Source organism: Homo sapiens, chromosome 14 (genome assembly GCF_000001405.40).
Source record: "Homo sapiens chromosome 14, GRCh38.p14 Primary Assembly".
NCBI classification, from domain to species: domain Eukaryota; kingdom Metazoa; phylum Chordata; class Mammalia; order Primates; family Hominidae; genus Homo; species Homo sapiens.
This window is the reverse complement of record NC_000014.9, coordinates 36,573,255-36,586,808: the sequence shown is the minus strand read 5'-3', so window position 1 is coordinate 36,586,808 and position 13,554 is coordinate 36,573,255. Positions and strand designations below refer to the sequence as shown.

Sequence of the window (13,554 nt, the reverse complement as noted above, 5' to 3'; positions counted from 1 at the left end):
TTTCAATTAATTGAACCATTTTACTTCTATATATTTTTTCATGTACATACTTAAATAACTAGAGAAACATATTAGGAAAGAAAAGCTTTCCCTCTAGAGATCAAGAACAGTAACAAAGTCAATGTAAAGTCATTATTTTAAGAGACTGAAGGTAGGATCATTCAAATCTTGTCATTTGGCATTAAACAATAAAATCTAAAGCCATTTCAAAAATAGACTAAATTTCCAGCCTGAAAATAATTGCTGTTTGTTCCTTGTCCTGTGTGTATATATCATCGATATAACTAAGAAAGAATCACAGCCAAGCTTGGACTACTGTGAAGCAATTGATTATTAGCCATTAGAAGGGAAATGTTTACTTGTTTTTAGAAAGAAAGGCAAAGAGATCTGATTTTAAATGATGCCTATTCCTTACATCCTATGACCAATCAAGATCATCCACTTCTTCTTGGAAGTGTCAGAACCCCATTTTCATTTTCCTTTTGCTATTTTAACCACAACAGTGATAAAGAGGGGGGAGCAGTTGCTATGAGGCAAAGAAAAATGTCCTGGCAGTTGAGGGCCCTCCATCTATCAAGGGGAATTTGCAGTGTTGCCTCTCTTCAATACTGTATAGATTTGCAGGATTTTGTGAAACACTTAACCAAAATGGAAGGATTTAAAAACGGAATGCAAGATATAGACACAATCATTTTTTTCAAAATCAAGATGCTTTAGTTTTATTTCAGAATTTTCTAGTCTTAAAATCTTAAGCACGTGGTAGTGATAATCATCTCTGGATAATACTTCTGAAAGGATGATTATTGTGGACAGCTTAAATATACTCATATATTACAGGTGCCTAAACATTAAAAACTCTTACTGGAATTGAGATATACTACATCCAATTACAAGAAAACAACTACTTAGCTAATTAAATAATAATATTCACATGGTATGTTAAGTTGCAAAGAAGTTCAATTGTCCAGAACACCAAATAATATATGAAAATCTGGAAATAATGTCCAGTTAAATGCTTACTTGTGATTCTAAGAATCTCTTGGGAATTGGAGGCAATTCGTATATATCTCCAATGTGTAAAAAACTTAAGATTAGCTTGACTGTCTTTTCCTATTGACCCAATATCAAAATAATTTTCCCCTCCCATGTCTGTGAATTTATCTGATGTGAAAAGGCAATATAGAAAGTACCTTTCTCTAATTCTGGCTTTCCTGCATTTCTTCAGAAGGCACAGTTTATATTGAACAATTTCTTGGAGTCCCCCGGTTCTAGCTCTCAGAGATAATTCAGCTAAATCCGCGGAGCAGAGCTGAGAGGAAGGTTGGCCTATGGCAGAGGCACTTATGGCAGAGGAGGAGGGAATCCAAGATGAAGCAGGTAAGCTGCAGCCCTTTCTAGAACCAGGAGCTACAGGGTTTCCATGGGACATCTAAAATGCAGACCAAGGCCCAGGAACACTGTTTCCGAAGCCCGTGAACATGAAGCTAGAAGTAATATTTGGAGCGAATCCCAGAGCAAAGTCCTTCCCAGAGCACAAGTGCTAGATGGGGCCTGTATCTCTGCTTTGGAAGCCAAACACTAAGAGTAAAAGCAAATATTTGATGCTGAAGAGCTCTTAAGAGCTGAAGAGCGCCATTTACTTATTTCTACACGTCAGTGTGGGCTTAGGATGTTAAATAGATTAAAAGGCTAAGAGAGGTCAGTCACTCAAGGAAAGACTCTTCTTTTGCTTCTCCTGACTTGGTTCTCTTCCCTAAATTGTTATCCACCCCACCCTACTCCTGTGGAGGATCCTTGGGAAACTCAAAAGATGACACCTCCTCTCCTAGAACATCCTGGAGACGGAGTCAGTCCTGGGGCTAAGAATTCGAGAACCTGAGGGAGGAGGGAGTCTAAATATCCGGCTGGTAAATGCTACAATGAAGATAGGTTTAGAAAAATTCCTGAGATACAGAATCATAAAACTGGTAGGGTCCTTAGAAATTACCAAATCTATTCTCCTACTATCTTCTGTATCAGATTAATTTTAAAAAAAAAAAGGAAGGAAGGAAGCTTAGAGAAATGAGGTGGTTAGAGATAGGTAGGGGCAGAGCGAGGATGCGAACCGATTTCCAGGCCAGAGCTCCTTCTACCTTACACAATCTCATAGTTCAAGACCGAATTTGGGAATCAGTCTTAACACTTGCTTCCCCAGGACGGTCTTTGTCAGTGCCTCAGCTTCTCACTAGGGAGGTGGGCTGGCAGAGATTGCCAGGCCTCGGGCTCTGGCCAGAGATAAGTCCACGAGGCCTGGAGCCAGTCTGCGACCTGCCCACTCTCTAGACGCTGGGGGCTCGGGAGCTGAGGAGCGGTGCGCGGCGGGTTTCCAGACTCCGCTGTCCCCTGCCCACTCCAGGCTCCCGCCCCGGCCCCGTCTGCAGAGAGGACAGCCAAGTCATTTCAGTTTAATCTTATTTAAAAAGACATAACTAATAAATCTATTGCCAGGGCCGCGGAAAGACGGCCAGCAGAGTCGATCGTGCTCCCAATCCCATTGAACCCCATTGAAAACCATGACAACACCGGACAAGCTCCGATTTATCCCGGCGCGTTAAAGCGCATTGTGAGCAGACGTCAATCATGCATTATTCCGGACTGAACAAATGCAAAATCTTGACTGGAACAAATGCTTCCAACAGGTCCGGGGCGTCGAGCTCCATTTCCCCTTTGTCCGCGGCCTAGCAGTTGGCCTGTATTGGGGTTGCCTCCGCCCGACCACCCAGCGCGCGGTGCAGCTCCGGGCACCTCGGGCACGCTTGATAGGGAGGCTGCTGGGGAGGGTGCGCGGGGCTTGACAGGGCCGCCGCCGCCGCATCCGAGCCAGGTTCGAGTTCAGCCCGGGAGGAGCCAGGACTTCTGGTGCAGCCACCCAAGTACAGAGCCCTTCGCTACAATTTAGCAACTAAATATCCAAACTACTAGCTTCAGTAGGAGAGGCCTCTGAGAGGGCGTTCCTCTGTAGATTGAAGCGCGGCCAGAGCTAGGCCATGGCCCAACAAAATGTATCCACGGCGGCCTGTTCCCTGCGCCTCCTACATTGATCATTTTCTAGGGTGGAACTGTGGAAACTAGAAGATCCCAGAGAAACCCATGGCCGGTGGTATTTTCTGCCGGGTAGGCCCTGTCCTAATTCTCCCGATCGGTCCATTCCCGGACCAAGGCGGGCAGCCTCGTCAGGGTCTGCCATGCTGCGAGCGGGGAGCGTAGGCCATGGGCAGGCTCCTGGGCAAAGACCAAAGCCCAGGCAGTGAGAGTGCCGTTGAGGCTATGGGGCCAAGGCGCACAGGCGGCACCAGTTCATCTGGCGACTCCAAGGAGGCCTCAAAGCCCTCACAGGATGCCCTGAGAAGCGCCCCCGCCCAGGGGCTCTAAAGCGGGCCTGGACCCAAATTTGTGGAGCTCGGCCTCCGAGCTCCGAGATCGGCAGCGGCCGGGCGAAGCTGGGCCAAAGAGACAGGCACTGTAGACCTAAGTAGCTTGGCTACAAGCCTCTTCTGTTTTGCCGGCCTGTGGAGACGTGGAGCTGGGGCTCCGAATGTTGTCCCAGCCCTTCCTCAGCACCTCTGAGGCTGTTAGGGGGATGTATGGTGTGATCCGAGGCTCCCAGCGGCCGTTGAAACCCCTGGGCCAATGCTGGCAGGGCCAGGCTAATCTTTACGCCCTCCTGAAACTTGTCATCCTGAATCTTAGAGGGGCCCAACCAAAAAGAGAAAGGGAGCGCGCCAGAGTTTAACGCCGCTTTGTAAATCACTTTCTGGATAATTGCGGGAAACTACCACTCCAGCAAACAAGCTCGAAGAATAAAGCAAACAGGGAATAAATTCCTGGGTGCTAATAAACCCACCCCTGCCACCCCCACCCTTCCCGGCGCTCCCGCGGGGCCTGGCCTCAAGTCAGCCCAGGAGGAGGAGGAGGAAGCTGGGGCTGGGTCAGGCGGGTGGTGGCCACCGCTCGCCACCCAAGATGTTATTCACTGGTAACAATCCCCATTATCTGTCCCCACTTTGGGCTAATCAGACAGAATCGCTAATGCCAAATGCTGCTTCCTGCAGCCTCTGGGAGGTAACTGGGCGCCAAGGGGCGGGGTGCGGGGCGGGGTGCGGGGCGGGGCGGGGGCGGAGGTGGCACCTTCCGGGCTCGCCCCGGCTCTGGTCCAGTGCTCATTCAGGTACTTAACACCCTGGAGACCCGGACCTCGGCTTTCAAAGCGGCCTGGGTGGGAAGAGCTGTTTATATAAACAGAGATTCCGCTGTAAATGCGCTAATATCCCGGCTGCCAGCGCATGGCGAGCGCCTCCCACGCCCATCCGTAGGAGCGGCGTCCCGGCCGCCCCTCCGTTCCCAGCCTGCCCTGCCCCCGCCTCCTTCCCCTCCTCGGCCATGGCCACCTCTGGACGCCTGAGCTTCACCGTGCGCAGCCTTCTAGATTTACCCGAGCAGGACGCGCAACACCTGCCGAGGCGGGAGCCAGAACCACGCGCCCCCCAGCCCGACCCCTGCGCCGCCTGGCTGGATTCGGAGCGCGGCCACTACCCTTGTAAGTGCGTGGTGGATTGCGGTGCGGGGTGGGAGGTAGGAGGCGTGGGGCAGCAGAATCAAGGGCCCAGCCCACGAGGGGCCGGAAAGCCGAAATCCCAGCCCAGAGTCTAGATTTCCTCAGTCTTGGAAACGGGAGCCCTGTCCTCGAACCCCTAACGCATTCATCCCGGTCGGCACATCCTAAGAGCAGATCCCTGCCTGGCACTGGTGCTCCGAGATTTGGGGTTTCTGTGTCTGACGATTTCTAGAGGTCGGAATAATTGAAATTTAAAACGCGCCGCCACCTGCCGCCCCCACCCCACCCCCCGCCCCCTCTCCATGCCTGAAAACACGGCCACGATCTCCAGGCCTCCGTCTGGGATGGCCAGTGTTGGCGAGTTTACCCCCACCCCGTTCCCACTCAGGGCTCCGCAAACCTCGGCACACTGCAGTGCAGTCGACCTGGAGGAGGCCGGCGCTGGTGACCCAGCTTGTGATAAACTGGTCGGCCAGCGCAACTACCGGTGCGGACATGTTAAGAGGGCCCCGGGGTGGGTTTTTTCGGGGCACGATCTCAGGCCCGCTGATGACCGCTGTGGTATGAATGAGGTCACCGCATTCGGAGAGGTGGATGTCCAGATGTGGACTCAGGAAATGGCCTCATCCCGAAAGTCTCGGGCTAGTGGGCGTGCCCTCTGGCCAGTGCCTCCACGCCCGCGCCAGAAGGGCAGCAGGCCCTCGTAGGGTCCGGCGTCTCACCCACCCGTGTCTCCTTTGCTGTCCCTAGCCTCGGACGAGAGCAGCCTGGAGACCAGCCCGCCAGACTCGTCGCAGCGGCCGTCCGCTAGGCCCGCGTCTCCGGGCTCGGACGCCGAGAAAAGGAAGAAGCGGCGGGTGCTATTCTCCAAGGCGCAGACGCTGGAGTTGGAGCGGCGCTTCCGGCAGCAGCGGTACCTGTCTGCGCCCGAGCGCGAGCAGCTGGCGAGCCTGCTTCGCCTCACGCCCACGCAGGTCAAGATCTGGTTCCAGAATCATCGCTACAAGCTGAAGCGCGCTCGCGCTCCAGGGGCGGCGGAGTCGCCTGACCTGGCAGCATCCGCCGAGCTGCACGCCGCGCCCGGCCTGCTGCGTCGCGTGGTGGTGCCGGTGCTTGTTCGCGACGGGCAGCCGTGCGGCGGCGGCGGCGGTGGCGAGGTGGGAACCGCCGCGGCCCAGGAGAAGTGCGGCGCCCCTCCAGCCGCCGCCTGCCCTCTGCCGGGCTACCCTGCCTTCGGTCCCGGCTCGGCGCTTGGCCTCTTCCCCGCCTACCAGCACTTAGCATCCCCCGCCCTGGTCTCCTGGAACTGGTGAGGCCGCAGGGCGGCACCTGGGGCTACCCTCGACTTTGGAGCGCGCTCTGCGATTGGAGCAGGGCCGGAGCCGAACGCCTGGAACGCTCTCCGTCCGCCTCCCTGCAGCCCCATCTCCTTGGGCGCCAGGGTCCCTGGCGCGCCCTCATCAGCCGTCGCGCAAGCACACACGAGGGACGTGTGCCAGAGCCCCCTCCCTCACCTTCCCTCCACCGCCAGCCCCAGAGTTAGATTTTATGCTTGGGCCTTATTTGTATATTTTTAAATAGCGATTTGTATAGGAAGCAAGTTATTTTTTTAAAAAATAGAGTATTTTTCCTCGTAGTTCGAGAATAAAATGTGTGGGGTTGGGTCCCCTGCGCGCCTGCGGGGAACGTAGGCGGGAGTCGTGCCCCCCAGACCGGTGTTCGCATCGCTGGCTCGCCCCTTGACTGGCTAAGTGGGGCCCGGCCCCAGCTGGATCGAAGGGCGGGTTGCAGTCCCGACACGGCTTTAGGAAGATACCTGGGGGATGGAGGGGTGGTGATGTCAGGGTTGGGCGCGGGAAGAAAAGGAGAGGAGGAAGCTGAGGCAACTTTGGGATTCTTGTCAGCGGGAGGCGTCACTGGCCCCAGAGTGACTCCGACTCTCCGCTGGGCTCCCAGAGCTGCTGGCGTTTCGAATACCGAAAAGTCAACCCTGTGGACCACGACAGGGCAGAAGGAGTTTCTCCGGAGATGAGCCGGCGAGGCCAGGTGCGGGGCGCGCTGCACCGGAGCAGCCCAGGCCGGGCCGCAAGCTGTTTCCAGAGTGCAGGAGCCAAGTGCTCGGGGACCCTTTGAAAAGTGCCTGGGGACCTGAAGAGCACCGGGGAATTTGTAACCCCTATTTAAGCCTGCAAGTGCCTAAGTTAGCTGTGATTTCCTGTCTCCTCATGGCGCAGTACCTGGCCAGGGTGGGGAGGAGGACGTGAAGACATCAAAGGGTCGGGGGAACGACCGGCACAGGGCTTTTCCTCTGGGCAGATCCGGGAGGACGCGACTCCCAGCTGAGGGAGGGCCGCCTGGGGGAGCCTTGGGAATCCGAGATTGGGGCAGGTCCACCCCGGCCAGTGCACACTAGCACCCCTTGGATTTGTAACTGCCCCGCTAGGGCCTCTTGTGCAAGCAGTCACTTTCTCACAGAAGCGACGACCTCGCTCCCAGGCACCCGCTGCTGGGAGATGCGCCAGAGGAGAGCAGTTGGGGCATCAGGTGCGGGGAAGGGAGCCAAGGGCCCTTATGGAGGTCTCTAAGGAGGAGTCATGGGCCTGTTAGGGGCTCTAGCTTTCTTGTCCAAGGAGGAAGAAGGGGAGGATGAAGGGTGGCTGAGGCAGTGTTATCACCTGGGATTTTGGGGGGTGGAGAGAGAAAGAGAGAAGGGGAGAGGGGGAAGGGAGTGGGGTGTTTGGGTCTCAGCTGCCGGCCACCTTGCCTTCCATATGGATGCGGTTATCTTAGAAGAATCTCGATCCTTAAACCTCTTTTTGTCTTGGGAACTGAAAAGGGCATTGTCAGGCCTGAAAAGGACCTAGACAAAATCCGCACTGTTTGGATTCAGGACTCTGTTTAATCAGTCCCTGGTGACAATGTAGTGGGTGTTAGGCAGGACAATAGTATCTTTTTAAACCTTGTGGCCTTCAGGAAGACAAAGGGCTTGAATTTTATGGGCTTACAACTTCAATTAGAACAGTGCCAGTGTGCATGGGAGATTATCAAATTTGTATCATAAAACCCCTTTCTAATAAATGATTGCTGGGGAGGGAGCTTGAACATTGTAAGACAGATATTGGGACCTGCCAGGGGGCTTCCCAGTTAGCTCTGGCACAGCAGATGTGAAAGAAAAGGAGGTAATGATTTCTGAAGAAGGCCAGTGTTGGGACTGCCTCTGGTCATCTGGCTGGGTGCTTGGATTTTCCATGCTCTTCCTGCATAGGGGTATTTTCTCCAAGAAGGGGGGTAAAGATTGGTAGCTTGTTTTCTACTATTGGTGGTGACAAAGACCACCAGAATATTCTTAGGGAGAAATTGAAAAATCACTGCCTGTCCAATTCCTTGACTTTTTCTAGAGCTCCAGAGAAAGTAGGTCTTGGAGTGTGCAGTGGAGAAGGCCTTACATAGGAGGCCCACAGGACAAAGGGATTTAGACTGTAGAGAGGGCCTCTTTCCAGGAGGCTCTTTGTGGGAGCACAGCCTTAGTCAAATTCATCCTGGTCCTAAATGGTCAGCAGAGGTCTAACCAAGAAGCCACATTCAGCTGCTTGCCAGTGGAGTGGTCAGAGCCCCAGCAAGTTGCCCACTCAGGAGCCAGCTTGTGTACTGGGCAAGAGGAGGGCAGCAGTTTCCTGTGACAGAAGCACTGGCAGCCATAAGGTATAAACTGTGGCCCACTTCCTTTCTCTCCTTTTCCTTTAGGCTGATAAGGTCCTTCCTTTAAAGAGGAAAAAACCTTAGGGGAAAGTTTAACTAGCACTCTCATCACCACCAATCCATTTCAGAGACCTAGGCTGTCAGATTTTTGGGGGATTTTTTTTGTTGTTCACAAGATAAGCTGGAAAAGATAAATGTCAATCTCCTTTGTGGTCTAAAGATGAATTCTTACAATTTCTGACAAAAGCTGAACCCAAGGCCTCTCTACCAGCCACTGTGAGAACAGTTAAGATCTCCCATCCTGGATGAAAGTACTTCAAACCCATCACCCATCACCAACATCACAAGGCAGATTCACACTCAGCAAACTTATTGAAACGTACTGTGTTGCAGGCATTTTTAAAGGTACTTTCACAGTTGATCTCACAGAAACCTTACACTGTATACATAATACTCCCATTTTATAGATAAGAAACTGCGGCTTGGGGACCTGCGGCTTAAGGTGCAGACATGGCCAAGTCCAAGAACCACACCACACACAACCAGTCCCGAAAATGGCACAGAAATAGTGTCAAGAAACCCCAATCACAAAGATACAAATCTCTTAAGGGAATGGACCCTAAGTTCCTGAGGAACATGTGCTTTGCCAAGAGCACAACAAGAAGAGCCTAAAGAAGATGCAGGCCAGCAATGCCAAGGCTGTGAGTGTATGTGCCGAGGCTATCAAGGCCCTCGTAAAGGCCAAGGAGGTTAACCCCAAGATTCCGAAGGGTGTCACCTGCAAGCTCAAATGACTTGCCTACATTGCCCACCCCAAACTTGGGAAGCATGCCCGTGCCCGCATTGCCAAGGGGCTCAAGCTGTGCCAGCCAAAGGCCAAGGCAAAGGATCAAACCAAGGCCCAGGCTGCAGCTCCCGCTTCAGTTCCAGCTCAGGCTCCAAAAGGTGCCCAGGCCCCTATAAAGGCTTCAGATAGATATCTCTGTCTATCTATCTGGACATGGGGACATGTCCATGAGGACAGGACTGGTGTGACTCCCCCACCCCCAGGCTGCCGTCTGCATGGGGCTGGGGTCCTCCTGTGCTATTTGTACACGTAAAACTGAGGCAGGAAAAAAAAAAGAAAGAAAGAAACTGAGGCTCAATGGGTGGGGCTAAGTGGCTTGCCCAAAGCAGTTATAAACCTCAAGGAATGTTACTGTTGTCCTCAGCTTAACTCATATTTAGTCACCCTACAAGCTGCCCTTCAGAACAATTGTAATCTGGAGGTAATGATTATATACATATAAAAATGTGGCTTAACTAGGGGTTACAAGTTCGCCGGTGCTCTTCAGGTCCCCAGGCACTTTTCAAAGGGTCCCAGGCTCATCTCCGGAGAAACTCCTTCTGCCCTGTCATGGTCCACAGGGTTGAATTTTTGGTATTTGGAACGCCGGCAGCTCTGGGAGCCCAGCGGAGCCTTGGAGTCACTCTGGGGCCAGAGATGCCTCCCACTGACAAGAATCCCAAAGTTGTCTCAGCTTCCTGATATATATATATAATCACACAACCCTTATAAGCTCTCTTATGGATAGTCTGAAAGGATGAAAAAACACACTTAAAAGTACTCTACACAGCTCAGGGCCACTCACAGAGGCTGGCCACATATCACAGTAGTTGCTAGTATGTACTGATGTTTTCTGTGTATCAGGCAATATTCTAAGACCTTTACCTCATATTAACTCATTCAATTTTCACAACTCCACCAGATACTACTACTCCCACTACACAAGTGGGAAAATTGAAGGCCAAAAAGGTTAGAAGAGACTTGTCCAGGGTCATACGGCTGGTAAGTGACATAGAGGATCTGAACCCAAGCCGTCTAGTTCCAGATCTTACACCTCTGGCCACATGGTGGGAATTGTTTCCCCTTCTTTGTTTTATTTCTCCCGGCTGACAGTTCTGGTTACCTTCCTCACAGATGCATCTCTAAAGACATGTTCTTTAGCATCTCTATGTCTCTCTGTCTTTGTCTCTCCCCCTGTCTACCAGACTTCCAGTTTTTGGACACAGCTTCTGTGTTTCTGCTAAGTCTTTGCGAGCATTCTTGTCCAGCTGTCAATGAAACAGAGCTCTTGTCTGCAGCTTGCAACATTCTCCTGTGACTATCATTCCACCATTCTTCTTCCAGAAAAACATGTGCTGCTGCTGCCTTGACACCAGTTGTCCACTCAGTGTTGGGTAGAGTCGCTGCTGACTCTGATAAGCTCCCCTAAGCTCTTCCCCAATCCCAGGCCCAGGTCCCTGTGGAGCTTGATGGCTTTGGCTTTCCTAACCCTCTTCCCAGCCATCTTTTTCCTCCCTAGGTCTCCAGTTTTATCCTTATTATTAAACATCATCCTCTTCACATTTTCTCTCTCTTCTTCCATTGTAAACATTTTCACTTCATCTCACTTAAGTTTCTTGCAGGCGGAGATTGCAATTTTCACTTCAATTTTCTTTCCTCATTGTTCAATGGATCTTACATCTCAGCACGTCTCTTATCTGACCAATTTAGCACTTCAGTATCTTAAATAATGTGCTCCTGATGGGTTAGAAGGAAGTTATTTGAGCCCAGGTTAACCTATACTTTCCCTTCTGACAATGGTATTTAGACATTTATTATTCTCTTGCCTTGTTGACACCATTAATTTGTCTCTTTCTCTCTCTCTCTCTTCACTACCTTTAAAACATTTTTGACTCACGAATAAACTGCCCAGGCAGGATAGTTGTGGGCTTAGCATGGCTGAATATTTTGTTAAACATGTTTATCTTTTCTGGGTGTATCAGTTAACCAGCCTAAGCAGGTTATTTGTAAACATGAACAATAGTCAAGAGAGTTTTCTGAATGCCGAGAAAGTACTGTCCCTACCCCAGGGCAAGGTGATTTCTGTGACTGTGATTCCATCAGTTAGTATTCAAAATTTGCATGAGAAATTGTATCCCTTTGGGTCACTTATCATTTTTCCAAGCCATGCTGTGGGAGAGGGTTTACTAAATAGTATCTTAATTATTTTCAGAATTCCAATTCTGTGCCTGTTTATTTCCCTCCACCTCCATTTCCCCCCATAATTAAAGGTGTATGGTATTTCCCTTTCTCGTTTGTACCCACCACTCATGTTACTCAGTCTGTAAGTCCAACAAAGAATTGAGCAGTATTCCTTTGATGCTGAGCCATAGAGTGGTGACTTAACTTTAGAGAAAAACCAGGAAGAATTGCTTAGGCTATGAAACAGTCGAGTTCTCCTTCAACCCCAGATTTTTTCCATATCTCTCTCAAATTCTCAAGCACAGAGATTCTCATTTTTTCCAACCATGTCCAGTGGAGAGTTTTATTATTTATCCAGGAAAGTAACATTATCACATATTAGAGGTAGAGATCATTTCTCTTCAATAACCTGCCCTATGGACTAATAAAAACTTTCTAGGTCTTTACTGAAGTCATGTAGTTTCAAAAGGTGCTATAGTTTCACAGAGCTTCTATCAGTAGGGTGCTATGGAAGAAACCTCTGAGGGGGCTTTGGTCATGCTTTATTTCCTCCTGTATTCTGACTGGGTGGTCCTTTATGAGTCAACAGGTTTTCAAATGCTTTACCCTAGCTAAAAGCTCTGAATTGGACTGTCCCTTTTCTCTACTCCCAATACCAACTGCATTCTCTCTCTCTCTCTCTCTCTCTCTCTCTCTCTCTCTCTCTTTTCCCAGGGACTGGAAAGGCTATTTGGCAGAATTCACTAGGAAGGGAATGGAGTCTGTTTGCAAATTAAAGTAGAGACAAAAGTGTCCAGAAAAAAATCGTGAAAAGAGTCCTTGAATCTCTCACCTGAGATATCTTCCTTCTGTTACATCTTACTCCTCCGGCTTTGGTGAAGGATTGTGTATTAAGTAGCTATTCCTCCAACCCTAAAGAAGTTATCAGCTTTGGTTTAAATGATCCCTTGGTAGGTAAATTCTCAACTAGAGCCAACCCCAATTCATCATAACATGTCAGGGTCAGTGGCAATCAGATAAGCATCAGTACAATGGCAAGAACGCATTTTTACAACAAAATTGAAATGCAGAGTAAGAAACCCAAATTATCAGGAAAAGACAAAGAAACCTGGTATGGTGAGTAAAGATAGAACTGCTTTCCTGGGGCACTGTTTTTACTGCCTCATCACACTCGTAGATTTAGTCATCTATCTGACCAAGTGTTCAGTTGTGCTCCTGATTCACTGAGAGAAGGTTTCATTTTTAACTCAAGTTAAAATGTCGAGAAAGGGGAGGATTTTCTTATTTCTCATTTGTGGATGGAGCATTATCTTAAATAAGGCTAGTCAATTTACCAATGTGGTGCTGCATGGGAGCAGAGAGGACTAACAAAATAAAATAGATCTGCCAGAATTTTGATGTTCAGGAGACACTACAAGAATCCTCCCTCTCCTCACTGAGCTTGGCACTGATTAAGAGAAAAGTGAATATATATTCAAATAGCACAGGTATGCGCAACAATGGGAGGACCTAATTCCACAATTGCATTTTAATTATATAAATATACTATGCATGAATGTACTACACATATAAGTGGGTATGAAACAGATTTTGGAAATGTTGGGTTCTTTTAATAAGAAAGAAAAACTCTGATTTATAATCCCACTTATCAAACCCATATAGGACAAATATTTTCTTTGTAAGATAATATGGAAAGCACAGAAATGTGTAAATAAGCTATGCTCTTAAATCTATCTGTTTTCATAATGACATTTGCTCTCTCATTAGTAGAATAGTAGTGTAATGAATAGGAGACCCAGGTAAACTATTAAAACGTAAGGGAGGAAATCTCATTTGCATCATTGTAAACTATAACCACAAAGAGAAGTTACTGAGACCATATTGACGTGGTGGAAAGAACAATTCCCCCTTTATCCTTGCTTTCCCTTCTCTGCAGCCTCTGATTGTTCCCCTCTTCCAAGAATCATGTATTGGAAACCACAACCATTTCTGCCATTAACAAGGTGAAAACTAGACTATGGAGAAGGTCATAAGGGTATAGACAGAAGGAATTGGCTGCTTGTTTCTCACTTGGCAGGATATGTGGGTTTGGGCAGGGCTATAAGGTTTTCAGGGAAACTCTACCTCACAAGCACCACTACCTAAAGCTTGTGCCAAGTAAGCCTTAGAACATATGTGAATGATTCATTCTAAACTGATTTCAGAATGTTTAGTTGCCTTCAATCCTTCTGAAAAGGCATCATTGCAATTTGTG

General features: G+C 49.4%; 1 protein-coding gene and 1 pseudogene across 1 annotated transcript, besides 2 other annotated features; both read left to right on the top strand.

Annotated features, from left to right (window-relative positions):
* Positions 1–4,194: 4,194 nt before the first annotated feature.
* On the top strand, positions 4,195–6,805 carry NKX2-8 (NK2 homeobox 8). The gene is made up of 2 exons (NM_014360.4): positions 4,195–4,576; positions 5,345–6,805. The coding sequence occupies exons 1-2, from the start codon at positions 4,420–4,422 to the stop codon at positions 5,905–5,907; spliced, it is 720 nt and encodes a 239-aa protein (NP_055175.2). The 5' UTR covers positions 4,195–4,419; the 3' UTR covers positions 5,908–6,805.
* Positions 4,804–5,614: an enhancer, noted in NCBI's record as "H3K4me1 hESC enhancer chr14:37050400-37051210 (GRCh37/hg19 assembly coordinates)". NCBI's record gives its function as "activates a minimal SCP1, AML or CMV promoter by ChIP-STARR-seq in naive and primed H9 embryonic stem cells {active_cell/tissue: H9 hESC(naive and primed)}" and the evidence as "EXISTENCE:reporter gene assay evidence [ECO:0000049][PMID:30033119]".
* Positions 5,615–6,425: an enhancer, noted in NCBI's record as "H3K4me1 hESC enhancer chr14:37049589-37050399 (GRCh37/hg19 assembly coordinates)". NCBI's record gives its function as "activates a minimal SCP1, AML or CMV promoter by ChIP-STARR-seq in naive H9 embryonic stem cells {active_cell/tissue: H9 hESC(naive)}" and the evidence as "EXISTENCE:reporter gene assay evidence [ECO:0000049][PMID:30033119]".
* RPL29P3 (ribosomal protein L29 pseudogene 3) lies at positions 8,774–9,406 on the top strand (annotated as a pseudogene).